Source organism: Homo sapiens, chromosome X, assembly GCF_000001405.40.
Source record: "Homo sapiens chromosome X, GRCh38.p14 Primary Assembly".
Lineage (NCBI taxonomy): Eukaryota > Metazoa > Chordata > Mammalia > Primates > Hominidae > Homo > Homo sapiens.
The window spans coordinates 108,265,397-108,287,924 of NC_000023.11; the positions used below are offsets into that span (position 1 = coordinate 108,265,397).

At 40.9% G+C, this 22,528-nt stretch overlaps 1 protein-coding gene across 15 annotated transcripts in view, besides 1 other annotated feature; it reads right to left on the reverse strand.

Annotated features, from left to right (window-relative positions):
• Positions 1 to 22,528, reverse strand: part of COL4A6 (collagen type IV alpha 6 chain) — a 283,845-nt gene that overhangs the window by 109,783 nt on the left and 151,534 nt on the right. The window lies entirely within an intron of this gene.
• Positions 4,833 to 6,032: an enhancer, noted in NCBI's record as "BRD4-independent group 4 enhancer chrX:107513459-107514658 (GRCh37/hg19 assembly coordinates)". NCBI's record gives its function as "activates an origin of replication core promoter dependent on BRD2, P300/CBP, MED14 and CDK7 cofactors, and independent of BRD4, by STARR-seq in HCT116 cells {active_cell/tissue: HCT116}" and the evidence as "EXISTENCE:reporter gene assay evidence [ECO:0000049][PMID:35650434]".

Genomic DNA, 22,528 nt, shown 5'->3' on the forward strand with positions numbered 1-22,528 from the left:
TTTTTGACAAACATGGAACTTATATCTAGAGGAAGACAAAAACTCTAAATAATTACAAGTTATTAAGTACTACAAATAAATGCCTGGGGCTGCAAAGATACATGGTGCTAAGGGATTACGTGTCTGAGGGAGGCTAGTATCTAAGGAGGTCTAATACAAGGGTAACTTTTACAGTAAGTCATATTCAAGTTGTGAACTGTTGGGTGAGGAAGCCAAGTGGAGAGGGTAGAGGTGGGAGTGGACAAAGAAACAGTTGATGAAACACTATTTCAGGAAGACGAAATAGTGTGTTCAAGGTCCAGAGGATAAAGAGAACATGGCAATGTTTGAAGATATCAGAATGGCTGCTGAGGATAGAGAGAGAGATAATGGCACGGGATGAAGTTGGAAGAGAAAGACAGGGCTACCAGATCATGAAGACCTAGAGTGCTATGATGAAGAGTTTGGACTTTATCCTGAAGGAAGTGGGAAACCACTGAAGGGATATCTGGTCAGGAAAATGTCAAAATGCAGATGACATACATAAAAAAAAACAGAACAAAACAACACAGTAAATAATAAGGGATATTAATGCATGACTCAGAACTATATGTACTATAGAGGCAAAGGTGAGCAGCTAGGGCTGGGGAGGGCATCCTTGGAGGCAGACATAAGCTGCATTTGATAACTGGGAGAGACTTTGGTTTGATGAGGTGGTTTATTTTGAATGCAAGAAAATATATGAGTGCAGTGGAAAGCTTGAAGTGAACTTGGCTTAAAATGAACCTTGGGAAGATAGAGCATGAGGGAAGAGTGCTTCCTTTTCCTTGGTGGAAATATCTGTTTTGCTGCTATTTTGATGTTGGAAGACTGTGCTGACAGAATTTCAGAAAATCACTTGGTGGGATGGGGAAATAGGTGAAAGAGCAGATGCCAGAGTCACAATCACAGGCCAACTGAGGGAAAGGACTAAAGGAAGAATGGAGCTAGTAATGCTTAAATCTTCTGTTTTACAAAAGATCAAAAAACCCCCAAACACTGCAGGTGTTCCTCAGTCCTGAAATATAAAGGTATTGCGGCTATTTTCACTATTATCTTTCCTGAAATATAAAGATATTCAGGCTATTTTCACTATTATCTTTCTCATTTCAAAACGTGTACTTGGGCAAAACCTGAAAGCTCAATAAAGACATGCCCTATGTCTATGCTGTTCACTAATGGTAATTTGTTCATTGGTGGTAATTTGTTATATGCTATAAATAGCATATAATATGTAAGTATAGAATTCTGAAACAGAATATATTTAAGCATTACTATAAACAGCATATAACAATAATTTGCTGAAGCATTTAGCATATTGCCTGGCAAATGGTATGGACTTAATGAACATGGTGCTACTAAGATTAGACCCAGATATTAGTGTAAATCCTATGTTTAGGGCATGTGAAAGCATGAAGAGCCTAGATATCCTGTGAGTACATTTGGAATAGGGATTTAGGGATAGGATTTTTTGTCATCAACTTGACTCAACCTCTGTATTAGCTTCCTATTGCTGCTATAACAAATTATCACAAACCTGGGCTTAAAACCAGACAAAAGAAATTTATTTATTATCTTACTATTCTTTAGGTCACAAGTCTGAAATGGATGTCGCTGGGCTAAAGTCAAGCTATTGGCAGAATGGCATTTCTTTTTGGAGGCCCTAGGGGGAAATCCATTCCTTTGTATTTTCTAGCTTCTAGGGCCTGCCTGTATCCCTTGACTTGTGGCCTCTTCCTCCATTTTCAAAGCCAGCACCATCAGGGTAAGTCTTTGTCACCTAACACCATTCTGACACACTGTCTTCAGCTTACCTCCTCCACTTATAAGCACCCTTGTGATTACATTGGGACCATCCAGATGATCCAGGATAATCTCCTCAACTCAAGTTTATCTGATTAGCAACCTTAATTCCATCTGCAACCTTAATTGCCCCCTGCCAATAACATGATATATCTCCAGGTTCTGGGGATTAGGAATGTGGACATCTTTGAGAAGGGGAAGCATTATTCTGCCTACCACAAGCTCCAATCCATAAATCGGTAAATACATTCTACTGGACTGTGCTCCCTTCTTGTAAGCCCACAGCACGTAAAGTACTTAACATAGAACATTGACTATACAGTAGAAGCTTTCTTGAATAGCCCTTAGAGTAAGTGATAATTTGTTAAAGTGAGGAATCATATAAAACAATACAGACACACATGTACATACATACACACATGTATATACATACATAAAACATTTTATTTCAACCTAAAACACACAAAGGTACATTCATTCACCACTCTGGTGATGTGTTGTAAGGCCAAGGCCTTTTCTTTGAGCGTGAGGCCACACCCTGGGATTTCACAGACTCTTTTTCACGTAAGTTACATTCCTAATGCATCACATTTGATTTCCACTTTCAGTTTTGTTTTATTTTTAACAATATGGCAGTTTTCAAAAGCAACTTTTCTTTAGTAAGTCTTTCCAAAGCATTGAACTTAGTTTTCATGAAAATAATAGTTTTCTTTTTATACTCATATTTCACAAATTTACATTAAATTACCTACTTGTAATAACGAGTACAACTGCCATAAATGGGCTTGGCAAAAACACAGCTAACTTTTGGTAAGTGATCAACTTGTTGTGTGGAAGCAGAAATATAAGTGTTCACCAGAAGTAACTTACCTGCCCATGAGCTTCCATTGTGCCCTGAGCATTGGCCAGTGTATATTCCAATAGGAAGGAAAAACATCGACTTACTCCATAAAGGAAGTTAAGCAGAGGCCAGGGAGGAGGGCTTTTACTGTATTTAAAATGGTTCATTTAAAAAGGAACAATCAATAGATGCCATAGTCTGAATTTACTATTGTAATCAATTCTTTCTTGAAATTGCCCCCAAATGTGCATCAGCTAATATTAATAATGACTAATATTTATTTACTGCTATGTGTTCAGCACTGTGCCAAGCACTTTATAAACACTGTTTTATTAATCCTCACAACAACCATATGAGGGAGGATGTATTATGCCCATTTTGTATATGAGACAGCTAAGACTTAGAGTTTAGAAATTTGCCAAATGGCACATATCAATAGAGATTCAGGCCCAGGTACTCTAGAGCCCACAACTGTGCCAATACTATGTTGCCAACCATCAGGCAAAACAGTCATGAGTCATAGCACGTGGTGTCACACTGCCAGCTGCCTCCTTGCTTCCTCTCCACAATCCAATGATAGATTGTTCCAAAGCAGGGGCAAGAATATCCATGGCAGTGCCCTTAGTCAGACTTCTTTGCTTCCTCATCTCCTCTGACATGGTAGTTGTACGGCTCTTTCTCCCGAGCAATGAGCCAGCATGACATTTGAGGGCCAAACGCAGACATTGTTTGAATTTATTGAGGTTCTTTATCAGCAGCAGCTATTTTTTCTCCAGCAGCAACTTTTTTTACAATCTTATCCCTATTTATTTTCCCTCTGGATTTAGCTGTCATCTCTGAAGGCTTAAGGGCAATGATCATTCTTTCTTGGTTCTACCATCATAGAGGCCACTTGCTTATCTTCTGCCTCCAGAAATCACTGCAAGTAATCTGTCTTCCAGTCTTCCATAGAAGTATGGGGAAAGAGAACATCAGAACTCAGCCTCCTTGCTGTGGCTGAGCCACATTACCCCTTAGAATCAAAAGAGATTAGGCAGAACCTCACTGAAATGGTAGAGCCGGCCAGCCATATCATTCAGTAGCTGCAAGTTGTGCTGCAGACAAAAAAAAAATAATAGATCAGGAAAGCAAACTGTGCCAATGAAAAGGAAGGGACTTTCGGAGCCTGCACTCATGAGGACATTTGTCTAGAAGGTTCGTGAGAGCAAAGCACACTGTCAGTGCAGATCAGCTGGAAACCTAGAGGAGGTAAATTTAAGATCCAATGATATTTTCTACCTGTAGGATGCTGGAGGCCAGATTTAAGAGTGCAAATGTACTGAAAACCAGAGGCATAGAGTTGCCATGGAGACTCACACCTGAAAAAATCTCACAGATAATGACTTGAGATCTCAGAGATACTAGCTCAAATCTTTTCAAGCTAGATTTGAGCAACTCGGTCTAAAATTTGACTCAGACCAGACTGGGCAGGATGGGGCAGATTCACAATTCAAGGGCCATTGAAGGAACTCTACAAAGGCAGTCAGGGAAGGGCTAACAGAAAACTAGCTCAGACCTATTAACATTTAAGTGAAGCTCAGTGTCAGTAATAAGCATGTTGACACATTTCAGATGATTACAATACTCCCATTCTTCAAAGAACTATAGTATTTTGGTGTTTGAGGCCATTCTGGTTCAATTATCATGTGACGTTTGGATTTTCTTTTAAAAATCAATTTTTATTAAAAATAGAGAGACTGGTATGTATGTTTCAGGGGTGGAAGAATTTGTGTTTTAGTAGGGGAACTTTAACCAACCCCTACCTCAAACAGGTTCAAATGGAAGAGTAGGTGACAACTATGAAGGAGGCAAATGGGCCAAAACCCAGGGACATAAGATAAAAAGAAAAAAGGAGCAGGCCACAAGGAGTCATCCTTGGAGTTGTCCTTTGGAGCCATGGGCCTTTAACTAGTTCATACAGCCTCTTATGGAATCTTGGAATTCAGTGTGGCAAAAAGCAGAGAAGTCTTGAGAGTAGGGTTTGCATTCCAGCACTGTCCAAATTTTCTGTGTTACCTTGAACAAATAATTTCAGCTTTCTGAGTCTCAGGTTTCTCATCTGTAAAATGGAAACTGTCATACCTGCCCCTTCTAAGTGTGGCAAATTGCATTACTGCCCCCAATTCTTTGCCCCCTACTCTATCCATGTCATTTGGCTCATTCCTTCCATAAAAGAGGTGGAGTATATTTCCCATTCATTGACTCTGGGTTCAATCATGTAACTTGCTTTAGCAGATAGGATGATATGGAAGAAAACAGTGAGCCAGTTACAAGCTTATGCTTTAAGAGGCATTCTATGTTTTTGTTTGCTCTTGCATGTCAGCTGTAACCATGAAAAGAATCTGCCCAGGCAAGCCCACTGGTCCTAGGAAGAGAAGGAGGAACACATGCAGCAGAGCCACTCCCAGCCTAGATCAGGTAACCTGGACTAATGACTGAGCCCAGTCCAGACTGACTGATGCCCAGCAAACCCGCAGACTGGTGAGAAGTAATTGTCTGAAGCCACTGGGTTTTGGAGTGGGTTGTTACATGGTGACAGCTAATTGATACATTAACTCATAGAGGTGGTATGAATCTTAAATGTGTTAAAGAATGAGTCCTTTTTCAAATTTTCAAACCTTTTTTCAAAGGTTTACACAAAAAACTGTACAAATTATTGTTCTAAGAGTGGGTAAGTAACTTAAAGGCCTGGAATGCTAAAGTAAAGTAGAATTAGGTCATATTTGGTTCCTGTAGGTTTTAATTGAAAGAGTTCCCTTTCAATTAAAATTAGGGGCACTAAGTCCCGAGGATCCATCCCAATGACCTCATCTCAAAGCTATGGTTGCCCATGAGTTCCTGTTCAGGCACTTGAGAAAAGGCAACGCGGCTTAGAGCAAAAGGAGATAGTAAGGATGGTTTAATGAGAAGACTTTCAGACCTCTTCAGACGATGGAGCAGGATGCCAACAGCTCTTTACTCTGTTTATTCAAATACTTGTTCTATTCATTAAATCAGCCATAAAATTTGTCAGCGTTGGTGAAGTCTTGTGGGCTGTGGCCGGCAAGTTTGCTGGGCAATAATTCTGCCAGCTCTCTTCCAAGCAACTGTTTCTGAGAGCTCCAAAAGCTAAACACAGGAAAACCACACCAGCCACAAGCTTCATTAACCAATAAACTCTTGATGGAAAGCAGGATCTCACACCATTGTTTGTGGTACAAGACTCCCCCAAGGGAGAGGGACAGTGGTACTTAAAAATCCCATTGGGCTGACTAAAGATGATCCTATGCTTCACAATTTACTTCAAAATTTGTGTCAGGCCAGTATTTCCACTGATAAAATAAATATCAGAAAGGATATTTAGAAAATCTTGGCAAGAAAAGTATAAGTAAATATGAGTGCAGGCAGGGGTATTTTAAGAAATAATATTAAATGGATTCAGTCAGATGAAGAGTAAATAATTTACAGTCCTAAGGATTCAGAGCAGACTCAGCCATAAAAGGGAGGGAGGAACAACCATCTGCTGCTCCAGGTATGAGTGACCAGCTTACATGTCACATGCCAAGGCCTGAACCCCAGCGAAAAACACAAATCATAACCAGATATGGACCTAGAAAGTTCTACCTTGGGGGTCTATAAAGGGAAAAAAATCATACTCTATTGGCGGTTGTGATTGTTCTCACTTCATGCAATAGTCCAAAGGAAGTTCTCTCTTTTACAGTGAGGGAGAAAGAAGCAAACTACTTTTAACTACTATATTTACACCATGTTTCTCTTGTGAAATCCATTCCTCATCCAGCTACCCTGGGCAAGAGAGAGTCTACAGTGGATGTATTTCCTGTATTATCCAGCTGCCTTCGGGTATACACAATAACATCTGAAAGCTAATTAACCAGTTTACCCTTCCTCTAACCAAAATGCCAAAATCAAATTCCTTATTACCTTTGTACCAAGCCCAAGTGCAACCCCTGTCATCTTTCACTCCCATATCCAATAGGTCTTTCACATTTGCTTTTTTTTCAGGTCCATCTCCAGATCTGTCCTGCCCCTCTCTGTTTCCATTGCTCTGCCCTAGTCTAGGCTCTGTTCCCTCATGATTTGCTTACTGTAACAGCCTATAAACTTCCTGGCCTCTAGGTTTTCTCTAACTTTTCTTTATATTGCACTCAGGTCATCTTGCTGAGCTACTGTTTAGAAAAATCAGTTCGTTCTCATTCTTTTAAAGGAATATGAATGACTCTTGGTTTCCTATGGCATCAAAGCCTCTGTGTAGCAGCCTTATTACTCGAACTTCACTCACTGTGTCAACCCACTTCAGGCTGGTACCTAGAACACTGATTCTCACTTTTGAGACTTTACTCAAACCACTTCCTTTGCCTAAAATGTTCCTTGAGACCTCCTCAACAATCCTGTCACTCCATGTATGCATAGCCAGCCTCAAATTTCTATCTCCCCATGAAAATTCTCTTCATAATAAAAATGAGATGAGTGGAAATTTAATTAAAACCAAGCAATCAACCAACAAAACAAACAACAACAACAACAAAAGCGAGATAAGCAGTAGGATTCCCAGTCTTCTTACTGTTTGGTTATCAGTGGCTTCTCCAGAAATGCTTTTTTTTTTTAACCCATCTCTCATTTTTTATTTCAGTAGGACAACTTTAATTCGAGATAGCACTCTCTACTTCTATCTGCCAATGGTTATCAACCTCGGCTTTGCATTAGAGTCATCTGGGGAGATTTAAAATACCAGATTCCCAGGTTGTATCTCAGATTAATTAAAGTAAAATATCTATGAGTAGTGAGTTCTAGGTGTCTGTATTTTATTTTATATATATTTTTTACTTTCTTTTTTATTTATTTTTATTATTATTATACTTTAAGTTCTAGGGTACATGTGCACAACTTGCAGGTTTGTTACATATGTATACATGTGCCATGTTGGTGTGCTGCACCCACTAACTCGTCATTTACATTAGGTATATCTCCTAATGCTATCCCTCCCCGCTCCCTCCACCCCACGACAGGCCCCGGTGTGTGACGTTCCCCATCCTGTGTCCAAGTGTTCTCAACCCCATCTAAAAGTGGGCGAAGGATATGAACAGACACTTCTCAAAAGAAGACATTTATGCAGCCAACAGACACATGAAAAAATGCTCATCATCACTGGCCATCAGAGAAATGCAAATCAAAACCACAATGAGATACTATCTCACACCAGTTAGAATGGTGATCATTAAAAAGTCAGGAAACAGCAGGTGCTGGAGAGGATGTGGAGAAATAGGAACACTTTTACACTGTTGGTGGGACTGTAAACTAGTTCAACCATTGTGGAAGACAGTGTGGCGATTCCTCAAGGATCTAGAACTAGAAATACCATTTGACCCAGCCATCCCATTACTGGGTATATACCCAAAGGATTATAAATCATGCTACTATAAAGACACATGCACACGTATGTTTATTGCAGCACTACTCACAATAGCAAAGACTTGGAACCAACCCAAATGTCCATCAATGATAGACTGGATTAAGAAAATATGGTACATATACACCATGGAATACTATGCAGCCATAAAAAGGGATGAGTTCATGTCCTTTGTAGGGACATGGATGAAGCTGGTATCTGTATTTTAAAAGTGTTTCTAGGTGATTCCAAGGCTGAGTACCATGGATCCAGATGATCTCTATAATCTCCTGCCATGTTTTCTCACGTGTCCCACATTTTACTGCTGTTTCAAATCTCAGCTTCAATTGTTCCATTCCTTTACTCAAAATCTTTCAATGGCATGGAGATATACATGCTAATATTAAGTGGGAACACATAGGTTAGAGAAAGATAGAGTATGTTTATATATAATTTTTTTTCATGTGTACTAGTTTTCTATGGCTGTGTAACAGATTTCCATGAACTTAGCAGCTTAAAACAACACAAATTTATTGTCACAGTTTCCATGAACAGGAAGTGTGAACATGTTTTAGCTGGGCCCTCTGCTTAGGAACTCTCACTGTCCTGAAATGTAGGTTTTATTATTAATTAGGTATGATGAGGTCTACAGAGCAAGAGATAAGTGCCACTGAAAAGCTGTTTTGTTGCTCACAGTTAAGAGGAGGGAGCTTGCCATGCTACATGGGGCTACATGGGGAAGCACCAGGGTCAGTCAGGAAGCAGAAGAAGTGAGGAGAAAGCATGGCCCAGAGCCTTTATTGTGGTTTCCATGGGAAAGGCAAGGCAGGATAAGCATGTTTTGGATTGGCTAGCTTGAATGATTTCAGTGGGTCTTGGGTATAAGGATGGTCTCTAGTTTCCTGGTTACTGGCTCTGCGATGATCAGGGCAGAAGAATATTGCCTTCTGGTATGTAAGAACCAGACGCAGGAGGTGGTTCAGAGTGTGGGCTCTGGGTTAGTTGGCTTACATATGAAATACATGGTCTTAGGCAAGTTATTTGCTGTCTCTAAGATACAGCTAGCCGTGGAGAATCTCTTCCCATTCAGTGAAGCTCCAGAGGCCAGAGCATCAGGAATACAGAAAATAAGAAAATATAGTTAATACACTCAACTGGCTAAAATTGTAGTATCAGCCAGGACTGTGACCCAAGCTCATTGGTTGTTTGAAAAATTAAGTTCCATGTGGTTTTAGGACCAGGGTCCTTGTTTTCTTGTTGGCTGCCTGTTGGGAGTGAGTCTTAGTTCCTAGAAGCTACTCTCAGGTCCCAGCCACATGGCCCTCTCACAGCATGAAGATTTTTCTTCAAAGCCAGCTGGACATTTTTCTATAATATAATCATGGGAATGACTATTCTAGCACCTTTGCCATGTAACATAACTTAATCAGGAGAGCAATATCCCATCATATTCACAGGTCCCACCCACACTCAAGAGGAGGGAATTATACAGGTCATATAGGCGGGGGTGGGAGTCTTAGAATCTTGTCTTCCATAGCACAGAATTATTTTATATTAATATATTTTAATAAGAAAGAAATCTAGGGGTATATACATTAGGATGTTAACACTAATCATCCCTGCTTTCAAGTGGTATTCTATTTTGAAATTTTATAGTTTTTATTCTATAAAGCACTTGTATTACTTGGGAGGAAAGGAAGAAAAATGGAAATGAAGGAAGGGAAGAAAAGGTAAATAAGGAAGAAAGGAAGAACCTTCTATTGCTTCCAAAACTAAGCATAGTTCATTCTATCAAAACAGTTTCTCCATAAGATACTTTCAACTATGTTCAAGGAATTATCTACCAATACCTCCTTCAAGCAATCCTATATTCAAGACAAGCCAAGTACCCTGGCCCATATTTATCCTGTGTTTTCCTATCTGTATGGCACACTCAAATTACTCCACTGCTTCGTTTCTGTTAAAATCCTATGCATCCCACAAAGCCCATTGCTCTATCCTGTATGAGTTAATTCTTGATTCCACCAGCCATGAGGTGTTTCCTCTTGCTTTTGAAATCCCTGAGCAATAGAGTATAGAGGTTAAGCTCCCAAATTCTAGAGTCATATTACCTAGTTTCTATTCTTGGCTCTTGCCACATTCTAACTGGGCAATTGGGGTAAACTGTTTAACCTTTAATAAATCAGGATCACTGCTCAAAGGAGATAAAGCAATTGAAAGAAGAGGGGATGCAATGTATAATCTAAGGGGGAATTAGCAGAGTACAAACACTGGAATTGAAGTCTCCAAGGCCGAAACCCAAATGAAAGCACATATGCCTTCAGGAGGAAATCAATCGTGTGGGACTGAGATTGGCATACGGGTGCACATGAGTAGAGCTTTGAAGTTCAAGCCCAAAATGTAACCTTTGCCTTGGAAAATTCCCCAGCCAAAGTCACAGACACTAAACAGGAAGCACATACTCTATGAAAGCAGGCAATGCCATCCATGATGTCTTCCAGGCCATTTCTCTAAAACAGAAGGTTCCTCCTGTTTAGATCTCTTTGTAGCAATGTATACAAATGTTAGTTCCAAGTGAGGAAATTTCATTCGTGATTTCTCAAGAATGGAATTTATCCAAGAAAAACAACCATCCCTTATGACAATTATCTCCCTCATTTATGCCAGTCAGATTATGAGAGGCAAAGCAAAGAATTGTATTTTCCAGACCTATGTCTTAAACAAGCCCTAATACCACATCTTCTTTTTAGCACTTTGTTCTGGCAGAGTAGGGCACAGACCTTGCCAAAGCATGCCAAGCTCTCTGGCAAGTTAAGGCTGTTCCTTGATCCCACCAACTGACATGAAATTGACATTTAGCTGGTAAACCAGGTAAACTTTGGACCTGGATTCTGATTCACAGATTCTCATTGTCTTTGCTTATAGAATAATTGGGAGCCACAAAGCTAGAAGATAGGCACTTTATGTTCCAAAGAAATAGTTATAGTATTAAGTTCTACCATTTATTTAGCACCTACTATGTCCCAGATACTTTGCATGTGTGATCTAGATTAATCCTCACAACAACTCTACCAGCTAGGTACTCTTATCCCCTGTGAAAGATGAGGACATTTGAGGGCAGCAAAATGGAAGGCTAAACTACATCCCTTACTGATCTCTCCTTTTTTTGACCTCCTAGAGTAATGCAGACCTGAGCACCTGGCTCAGGATAACCAAAGGCAACTTCTTCCTGCTCCTAAGGCAGGTGGCTCTTCCTAAGGCAGCAAGCCACTCTGCCATTTTAAAGGTGTTTGCTGCTTGGCTGCTAGGTGGCATGGGGAAGTGGATCACTAGAATCAGGATACTGAGGATTTCAACCTTTAATTGGCTATGTACCTCAAACATTCCCTTACTTTCTGGGGCTCTGTTTCTTCATCTGTATCATGAGAAAGCTGGACTAGATTAATAACATGGAAATTTTCGAAAGCAATGGAACCTTTGTCCAAACAAAATCTTAGAGAATTTCAAAGAAGTACCACTGGTTGAAAGGTATAGAGGCGAAGATGGCCGAATAGGAACAGCTCTGGTCTACAGCTCCCAGCGTGAGCGATGCAGAAGACGGGTGATTTCTGCATTTCCATCTGAGGTACCAGGTTCATCTCACTAGGGAGTGCCAGACAGTGGGCGCAGGACAGTGGGTGCACAAGCCGAAGCAGGGCGAGGCATTGCCTCACTCGGGAAGCGTAAGGGGTCAGGGAGTTCCCTTTCCTAGCCAAAGAAAGGGGTGACAGACGGCACCTGGAAAATCGGGTCACTCCCACCCCAATACTGCGCTTTTCCGGTGGGCTTAAAAAACGGCGCACCAGGAGATTATATCCCGCACATGGCTCAGAGGGTCCTACGCCCATGGAGTCTCGCTGATTGCTAGCAGAGCAGTCTGTGATCAAACCGCAAGGTGGCAGCGAGGCTGGGGGATGGGTGCCCACCATTGCCCAGGCTTGCTTAGGTAAACAAAGCAGCCCTGAAGCTCGAACTGGGTGGAGCCCACCACAGCTCAAGGAGGCCTGCCTGCCTCTGTAGGCTCCACCTCTGGGGGCAGGGCACAAACAAACAAAAAGACAGCAGTAACCTCTGCAGACTTAAACGTCCCTGTCTGACAGCTTTGAAGAGAGCAGTGGTTCTCCCAGCACGCAGCTGGAGATCTGAGAACGGGCAGACTGCCTCCTCAAGTGGGTCCCTGACCCCTGACCCCCGAGCAGCCTAACTGGAAGGCACCCCCCAGCAGGGGCAGACTGACACCTCACATGGCCGGGTACTCCTCTGAGACAAAACTTCCAGAGGAACGATCAGACAGCAGCATTCGCGGTTCACGAAAATCCGCTGTTCTGCAGCCACCGCTGCTGGTACCCAGGCAAGCAGTGTCTGGAGTAGACCTCTAGCAAACTCCAGCAGACCTGCAGCTGAGGGTCCTGTCTGTTAGAAGGAAAACTAACAAACAGAAAGGACATCCACACCAAAATCCCATCTGTACATCACCATCATCAAAGACCAAAAATAGATAAAACCACAAAGATGGGGAAAAAACAGAGCAGAAAAACTGGAAACTCTAAAAAGCAGAGCGCCTCTCCTCCTCCAAAGGAACGCAGCTCCTCACCAGCAACAGAACAAAGCTGGACGGAGAATGCCTTTGACGAGTTGAGAGAAGAAGGCTTCAGACGATCAAACTACTCCGAGCTACAGGAGGAAATTCAAACCAAAGGCAAAGAAGTTGAAAACTTTGAAAAAAATTTAGACGAAAGTATAACTAGAATAATCAATACAGAGAAGTGCTTAAAGGAGCTGATGGAGATGAAAGCCAAGGCTCAAGAACTACATGAAGAGTGCAGAAGCCTCAGGAGCCGATGCAATCAACTGGAAGAAAGGGTATCAGTGATGGAAGATGAAATGAATGAAATGAAGCAAGAAGGGAAGTTTAGAGAAAAAAGAATAAAAAGAAACAAACAAAGCCTCCAAGAAATATGGGACTATGTGAAAAGACCAAATCTATGTCTGATTGGTGTACCTGAAAGTGACGGGGAGAATGCAACCACGTTGGAAAACACTCTGCAGGATATTATCCAGGAGAACTACCCCAATCTAGCAAGGCAGGCCAACATTCAGATTCAGGAAATACAGAGAATGCCACAAAGATACTCCTCGAGAAGAGCAACTCCAAGACACATAATTGTCAGATTCACCAAAGTTGAAATGAAGGAAAAAATGTTAAGGGCAGCCAGAGAGAAAGGTCGGGTTACCCACAAAGGGAAGCCCATCAGACTAACAGCGGATCTCTCGGCAGAAACTCTACAAGCCAGAAGAGAGTGGGGGCCAATATTCAACATTCTTAAAGAAAAGAATTTTCAATCCAGAATTTCATATCCAGCCAAACTAAGCTTCATAAGTGAAGGAGAAATAAAATCCTTTACAGACAAGCAAATGCTGAGAGATTTTGTCACCACCAGGCCTGCCCTACAAGAGATCCTGAAGGAAGCACTAAACACGGAAAGGAACAACCGGTACCAGCCACTGCAAAAACATGCCAAATTGTAAAGACCATCGAGGCTAGGAAGAAACTGCATCAACTAACTAGCAAAATAACCAGCTAACATCATCATGACAGGATCAAATTCACACATAACAATATTAACCTTAAATGTAAATGAACTAAATGCTCCAATTAAAAGACACAGACTGGCAAGTTGGATAAAGAGCCAAGACCCATCAGTGTGCTGTATTCAGGAAACCCATCTCACGTGCAGAGACACACATAGGCTCAAAATAAAAGGATGGAGGAAGATCTACCAAGCCAATGGAAAACAAAAAAAGGCAGGGGTTGCAATCCTAGTCTCTGATAAAACACACTTTAAACCAACAAAGATCAAAAGAGACAAAGAAGGCCATTACATATTGGTAAAGGGATCAATTCAACAAGAAGAGCTAACTATCCTAAATATATATGCACCCAATACAGGAGCACCCAGATTCATAAGGCAAGTCCTGAGTGACCTACAAAGAGACTTAGATTCCCACACAAAAATAATGGGAGACTTTAACATCCCACTGTCAACATTAGACAGATCAACGAGACAGAGAGTTAATAAGGATACCCAGGAATTGAACTCAGCTCTGCACCAAGTGGACCTGATAGACATCTACAGAATTCTCCACCCCAAATCAACAGAAAATACATTTTTTTCAGCACCACACCACACCTATTCCAAAATTGACCACATAGTTGGAAGTAAAGCACTCCTCAGCAAATGTAAAAGATCAGAAATTATAACAAACTATCTCTCAGACCACAGTGCAATCAAACTAGAACTCAGGATTAAGAAACTCAATCAAAACCGCACAACTACATGGAAACTGAACAACCTGCTCCTGAATGACTTCTGGGTACACAACGAAATGAAGGCAGAATTAAAGATGTTCTTTGAAACCAATGAGAACAAAGACACAACATACCAGAATCTCTGGGACACATTCAAAGCACTGTGTAGAGGGAAATTTATAGCACTAAATGCCCACAGGAGAAAGCAGGAAAGATCCAAAATTGACACCCTGAGATCACAATTAAAAGAACTAGAAAAGCAAGAGCAAACACATTCAAAAGCTAGCAGAAGGCAAGAAATAACTAAAATCAGAGCAGAAATGAAGGAAATAGAGACACAAAAAACCCTTCAAAAAATTAACGAATCCAAGAGCTGGTTTTTTGAAAGGATCAACAAAATTGATAGACCGCTAGCAAGACTAATAAAGAAGAAAAGAGAGAAGAATCAAATAGACGCAATAAAAAATGATAAAGGGGATATCACCACCGATCCCACAGAAATACAAACTACCATCAGAGAATACTACAAACACCTCTACGCAAATAAACTAGAAAATCTAGAAGAAATGAATAAAGTCCTCGACACATACACCCTCCCAAGACTAAACCAGGAAGAAGTTGAATCTCTGAATAGACCAATAACAGGCTCTGAAATTGTGGCAATAATCAATAGCTTACTGACCAAAAAGAGTCCAGGACCAGATAGATTCACAGCCGAATTCTACCAGAGGTACAAGGAGGAACTGGTACCATTCCTTCTGAAACTATTCCAGTCAATAGAAAAAGACGGAATCCTCCCTAACTCATTTTATGAGGCTAGCATCATCCTGATACCAAAGCCGGGCAGAGACACAACCAAAAAAGAGAATTTTAGACCAATATCCTTGATGAACATTGATGCAAAAATCCTCAATAAAATACTGGCAAACCGAATCCAGCAGCACATCGAAAAGCTTATCCACCATGATCAAGTGGGCTTCATCCCTGGGATGCAAGGCTGGTTCAACATACACAAATCAATAAATGTAATCCAGCATATAAACAGAACCAAAGACAAAAACCACATGATTACCTCAACAGATGCAGAAAAGGCCTTTGACAAAATTCAACAACCCTTCAGGCTAAAAACTCTCAATAAATTAGGTGTTGATTGGACGTATCTCAAAATAATAAGAGCTATCTATGACAAACCCACAGCCAATATCATACTGAATGGGCAAAAACTGGAAGCATTCCCTTTGAAAACTGGCACAAGACAGGGATGCCCTCTCTCACCACTCCTATTCAACATAGTGTTGGAAGTTCTGGCCAGGGCAATTAGGCAGGAGAAGGAAATAAAGGGTATTCAGTTAGGAAAAGAGGAAGTCAAATTGTCCCTGTTTGCAGACGACATGATTGTATATCTAGAAAACCCCATTGTCTCAGCCCAAAATCTCCTTAAGCTGATAAGCAACTTCAGCAAAGTCTCAGGATACAAAATCAATGTACAAAAATCACAAGCATTCTTATACACCAATAACAGACAAACAGAGAGCCAAATCATGAGTGAACTCCCATTCACAATTGCTTCAAAGAGAATAAAATACCTAGGAATCCAACTTACAAGGGATGTGAAGGACCTCTTCAAGGAGAACTACAAACCACTGCTCAAGGAAATAAAAGAGGACACAAACAAATGGAAGAACATTCCATGCTCATGGGTAGGAAGAATCAACATCGTGAAAATGGCCATACTGCCCAAGGCAATTTATAGATTCAATGCCATCCCCATCAAGCTACCAACGACTTTCTTCACAGAATTGGAAAAAACTACTTTAAAGTTCATATGGAACCAAAAAAGAGCCCACATCGCCAAGTCAATCCTAGGCCAAAAGAACAAAGCTGGAGGCATCACGCTACCTGACTTCAAACTATACTACAAGGCTACAGTAACCAAAACAGCATGGCACTGGTACCAAAACAGAGATATAGATCAATGGAACACAACAGAGCCCTCAGAAATAACGCCGCATGTCTACAACTATCTGATCTTTAACAAACCTGAGAAAAAGAAGCAATGGGGAAAGGATTCCCTATTTAATAAATGGTACTGGGAAAACTGGCTAGCCATATGTAGAAAGCTGAAACTGGATCCCTTCCTTACACCTTATACAAAAATTAATTCGAGATGGATTAAAGACTGAAACGTTAGACCTAAAACCATAAAAACCCTAGAAGAAAACCTAGGCATTACCATTCAGGACATACGCATGGGCAAAGACTTCATGTCTAAAACACCAAAAGCAATGACAACAAAAGCCAAAATTGACAAATGGGATCTAATTAAACTAAAGAGCTTCTGCACAGCAAAAGAAAATACCATCAGAGTGCACAGGCAACCTACAAAATGGGAGAAAATTTTTGCAACCTACTCATCTGACAAAGGGCTAATATCCAGAATCTACAATGAACTCAAACAAATTTACAAGAAAAAAACAAACAACCCCATCAAAAAGTGGGCGAAGGACATGAACAGACACTTCTCAAAAGAAGACATTTATGCAGCCAAAAAACACATGAAAAAGTGCTCTTCATCACTGGCCATCAGAGAAATGCAAATCAAAACCACAATGAGATACCATCTCACACCAGTTAGAATGGCAATCATTAAAAAGTCAGGAAACAACAGGTGCTGGAGAGGATGTGGAGAAATACGAACAGTTTTACATTGTTGGTGGGACTGTAAACTAGTTCAACCATTGTGGAAGTCAGTGTGGTGATTCCTCAGGGATCTAGAACTAGAAATACCATTTGACCCAGCCATCCCATTACTGGGTATATACCCAAAGGACTATAAATCATGCTGCTATAAAGACACATGCAAACGTATGTTTATTGCGGCACTATTCACAATAGCAAAGACTTGGAACCAACCCAAATGTCCAACAATGATAGACTGGATTAAGAAAATGTGGCACATATACATCATGGAATACTATGCAGCCATAAAAAATGATGAGTTCATGTCCTTTGTAGGGACATGGATGAAATTGGAAATTGTTATTCTCAGTAAACTATCGCAAGAACATAAAACCAAACACCGCATATTCTTACTGATAGGTGGGAATTGAACAATGAGAACACATGGACACAGGAAGGGGAACATCACACTCTGGGGACTGTTGTGGGGTGGGGGGAGGGGGGAGGGATAGCTTTAGGAGATATACCTAATGCTAAATGACGAGTTAATGGGTGCAGCACACCAGCATGGCACATGTATACATATGTAACTAACCTGCACATTGTGCACTTGTACCCTAAAACTTAAAGTATAATAATAATAAAATAAAATAAAAAAATAAAAAAAAGAAAGGTATAGAGGCAAGAAGGGCAGATAGTCAGCCTTTGAGGCACTCTGCTGAATCTTAGGGCTTGGTGATCCACAGTTTGAAAACACAGTTTGGCTAGATGATAACTAAAGGTCCTTTCCAACTCTAACATTTGATGGTTTATAAGATGGACTGTTTACTCTTACAGTTTTGCAGTTTATTTCTCTCTTCCCTAAGCTGGAAATAGAACATCTTTCAAGGCGACAACCATACCATGCCAGTCTTGTATTTCCGCTCCTGTACCTAGCTCAATTCTGTACACTTCTAAGTGTTCAGTAAGTACTTGCTATGTTCCTGTCAGTTCAAATAATGTTTGCCTTAGAGCATCTGTACCTTAAGATGAACATTCTCCTTTGGCCAGAGGGTGATCCCCCTAAGTTTTTTTTTTGGGGGGGGGTTGGCGGCGGGGATGCGGGGAGTGGAATGAGTCTCAAAGACTATCTTTCTATTCTCTTCAGTACCTAAAGCTGATCATGTGAGATCTGACATCCTTGATTACAGAGAACAGCAGGACACAGTGCTTTACAGCTGGAGCACTTAAGAAAGCCTTTAAAATCTACCATGACAAAGGCATACAAAGTGACAAGAATGTATTAGACATGGTCTTCCAAGAAAAAATGGTCTTCCAAGAAAAAAAGAGGGCTTGGGAGGAAGGTAGAGCCTCTTTAATAAAAGGTGGGCTGTGGGGGAGGAAGATTGATGGATACTAATTTGCTGTTTGAAAAGATGCTCTGGTGATAGAGGACAACATCTGAAGAAGGGTCACACTTGAGAAATGTGAGCAAGATGATGAAGCCCAAAATACAGAGGCAGAAATAACTGTAATACATTCAGTAGGTTTAGTGTTATATTTATTGATTTGCTAATACTACTCCATTGCTCTGCCTGACTGGCAGAAGACAGACAGCTCTTGTGCTTTAGGTTTAACCCACTGAAAAGAAAGATACAAAACCTAAAAAGCTGAATTATTCTTTTTTATATAATTGGGTGAAACTCTCAAGTTTTTTACTTAAAGACAACTGACACTGCATGTTCTCACTCTTAAGTGGGAGTTGAACAATGAGAACCGTGGACACAGGGAGGGGAACATCACACACTGGGGCCTGTCGGGGGCTGGGGGGCTGGGGGAGGGATAGCATTAGGAGAAATACCTAATGTAGATGATGTGCTGATGGGTGCAGCAAACCACCATGGCACATGTATACCTATGTAACAAACCTGCATGTTCTGCACATGTATTCCAGAACTTAAAGTATAATGAAAAAGAAAAAGAAAAAGACATGATCCAATATAGTAAAGCATGAATACAGGTGACAACATACAGAAACAAAATAAAACAAAACAAAACAAACTACCAAAAAACTCTTTGATTTGCCTCAACTGGAGAAAATCACTATTTGGATCCAGACACTTTACAGATCTGTAGCAAACCAGTTTAAAGAATGTTATGCTTTCCCAATCAATAAAAAAGTGGTCAGAAAGACAGGCATTCAGCTAGCAAATGTTTGCAATTTACAGTATTAATAGTCATTGGCAGTTCAAGCTTTTACACCAATCTTTTGATAGTCATGATTAAAGAAGGATTACTTAAAATAAATGGAACCGAGTTTTAGTTTTTCGAGTTCATAAAGCATCAAGCTTCAAACGTGCCTCCATGTCTAACAAAGGTTTACTTCTTACTTTCACCTGGAAAATAACTTAGCCTCTCAGTGTCCATTTCCTCTTTATAGAAACACCTGGCCAATCCCACAGGTTATCTTCCCTTTACCTCAACTTTCTACCCCTATCCTTCCTTTTATCCAAACAGCAAGGTCTTACTGAAAACGAAATTGTACCTGACAAACAGCATTTTGTCAAGTCAAAAACCACCTGTTCTTTCCCAAGCGGCCCAGGCTGTATACTCTGGGTCTACTGGGTGCCCAGTGGGAAATCAAATCAGATAGGGCACAGCAGGTCAGTGAGTGTGTTTATTGGGCATATTCTATCATGCCTCTGTGGACAGGTTCACAGTAGGAGAGCCCAAGAGGAAAGAATCTTCCTCTGAAGTCACAATCTGGAGTCCAAATCAGCACTGGAAGTTCTATCCCAATCTCTTCCACCCAAGTATTTCTCTAGATTGTTAGTTGGCTATACTAAAACCCCTGTGAATGTTATACTTCACAATTCACCATTACCTGGTGTAAAGAATAATGATAGTTGTGATGCTAATCATAGAGAAGCAGTGTGATTACAGGATGAGAAAGCTTTTATCGGGGTAAAGTGGAAATGTCACATGGCAATGTCTGAGCGGAGGGTTGTTAAAGCAATCAAAGCCATCAGCAACTGGAAAGCACCCAGGCCTGACTTCCTGCAGATTTTTTTTGGGTCTGAGTTGCTCAAGACAGCACACAGAGCTAGTGCAAAATGCTCTGCAGGAACACTCAGTGAGCCAGCCATGACACTTGGTTTGTATGGCACCTTGCAAAAACTGCCATTTTTCAGCAATACAGTCTTGCCTGATAAAAACAGATCAACTGTATGCCCACCTACCATCTCTTGAGAAGAATGGCATCCACTTTGGCATTATGAGAGCAATAATATACCCAGAAACACTGAAAAGCTGTTAAAAAGGACCAATAAGTTGTAACAGCCAGGTGATTCAAGATTGAGGAATAGCTGTATGGCTAACCAAAAGAAATTCTGGGTAGGAGTGAGGTGGTCCCATAGAAAAGGGTTGTATCTATTATGAGCCAATTTTTTCTCCATCAGGAAGAAGGATCTGGTGTTCTAAAGAATGCAGTGTGGATGCTCCTGTGAATGTTTGTTTCAGCTGCAGGTGTTAGTGACTTTATTAGGAAAGAAAGAAAGTGAGCTCTTTCAGGAGTAGGGTATAAATAGGCTGGGTGACCCTGGTTTCTTGGCAATGATAAACATGTGCATAAGTCAAACAAAATGTTAAGCTCCACCTCTAGCTTGGTGTCACTGATTTGGAAAATGAAGCAACTCTGGCAGTTTGTTTGAGATAAACCCGAAAGTATATAGAAGTGTGGGGGCTGGAATTTAAACAACCACAAACAAGTTTTTAATTTCTAGGTAACAAAAACACCGAGGGGCAGTCTTATTCAAGTTATTTTTAAGCCAGGGATCATAATGCTATTCAAACTGGATCAGGACCTCTTCTGCACTATGAGCAGGCTCTGAACTTGAGATGTGATGGCTAGCTGTTCCCCTATTTCAGTTTTCCCATTCTTCATTAAATGATATAACTCTGACATTTTAGCTAGGCACATAGCCACCCAGAATAAAGACTACAATTCTTGATCTCACTTTTAGGTGACTGTGACCCTGGGACTAAGTTCTGAACCATGGGATGTAAGCAAAAGGGATGTCATGAGATATTTCTTTTTTTAGAGACAGAGTCTCAGTCTGTCACTCAGGCTGTGGTGCAGTGACACAATCATAGTGCACTGCAGCCCTGAGCTCCTGGGCTCAAGTGATCCTCCAGCCTCAGCCTCCCAAGAATCTGGGACTACAGGTGCACATCACCACACCTGGCTAATTTTTAAAATTTTTGTAGAGACAAAGTCTCACTATGTTGCCCAGGCTGGTCTTGAACTCCTGGGCTCAAGTGATCTTCCCATCCAGGTCTCCCAAAACACTGGGATTAAGGTGTGAGCGATCATGTCTGGCTGAGATTTCTAAGCATCTTTAAATGGAGGGGCATACTCCTTTCCCCTAGTCTCTCATGGTGCTGTTGGAAGGAAGATATGATGGCTCAAGCTAGAGCAGCCATTTTGGACCCTGAATTGGAAATCATATGTTGAGAATAGTGGAGAAAGAAGATAGAAGTAGTCTGGGTCCCTGATGATCATGGAGATGCCATTCAAGCCCACAACTACCTACATGGACTCTTACATCATCTCAACATTGAATTTTTCTACTCTAGAAGTTCTATTCGGGTCTTTCATGTCTTGACTTAATATACTCAATTTTTCATCTAGGTTCTTAAAAACACCAAAAGTTATAATAACTGTTTAAACGTCTTTGTCTTGTAATCCTATAATCTGTGTTATTTCTGGGTCAGTTTTGGTTGGTTGACTTTTCTCATTAGGAGTCCTATTTCCCTGCTCTTTTTGATGCCTGGTCGTTTTTGTTTGTAAGTCAGATGTGAATTTTATCTGGTTGGGTGCTGGATATTTTGTGTTTCTGTAAATACTCCTTGGCTTTGCTCTGTGACACAGTTAACTTACTTGGAAACAGATTCTTTCAAGGCTTGTTTTAAAACTTTATTTGGCAGCTCTAGAGCAGCCTTGAGTTTAGGGCTAATTTGGCACTGCTACTGAGGCATGATCCTTTTAGTACTCTGATGCTATGTGAGTTATAAAGTTTTCTATTCTGGCTGGTGGGGCAGGCACTATTTACAGCCCTATATGATCTCTGAGGATTGTTCCTTCTGCTCCTTTTGGGTAGTTCTTTCCCCAGTCTAGGTTAGTTTCCTTACACACATGTGTTGCTCAGTGCTCAACCGAAGATTCAAGGAGGACTCCAAATATCTCCGGAGTTCTCTTTTCATGCAGCTCTCTCTTCTCTAATACTTGTTCTGCAAATTCTACCTGTCTAGGTCTCCCTGGATTCCCAGCTGCATCTCCTCATCTACTGGGCTTTGCCTCAGTTCCCTGTCCTTGTACCACTGCCGGGAAACTCTGTCCAGGTAATAAGCTGGGGTCATCATAGGGCTCACCTTG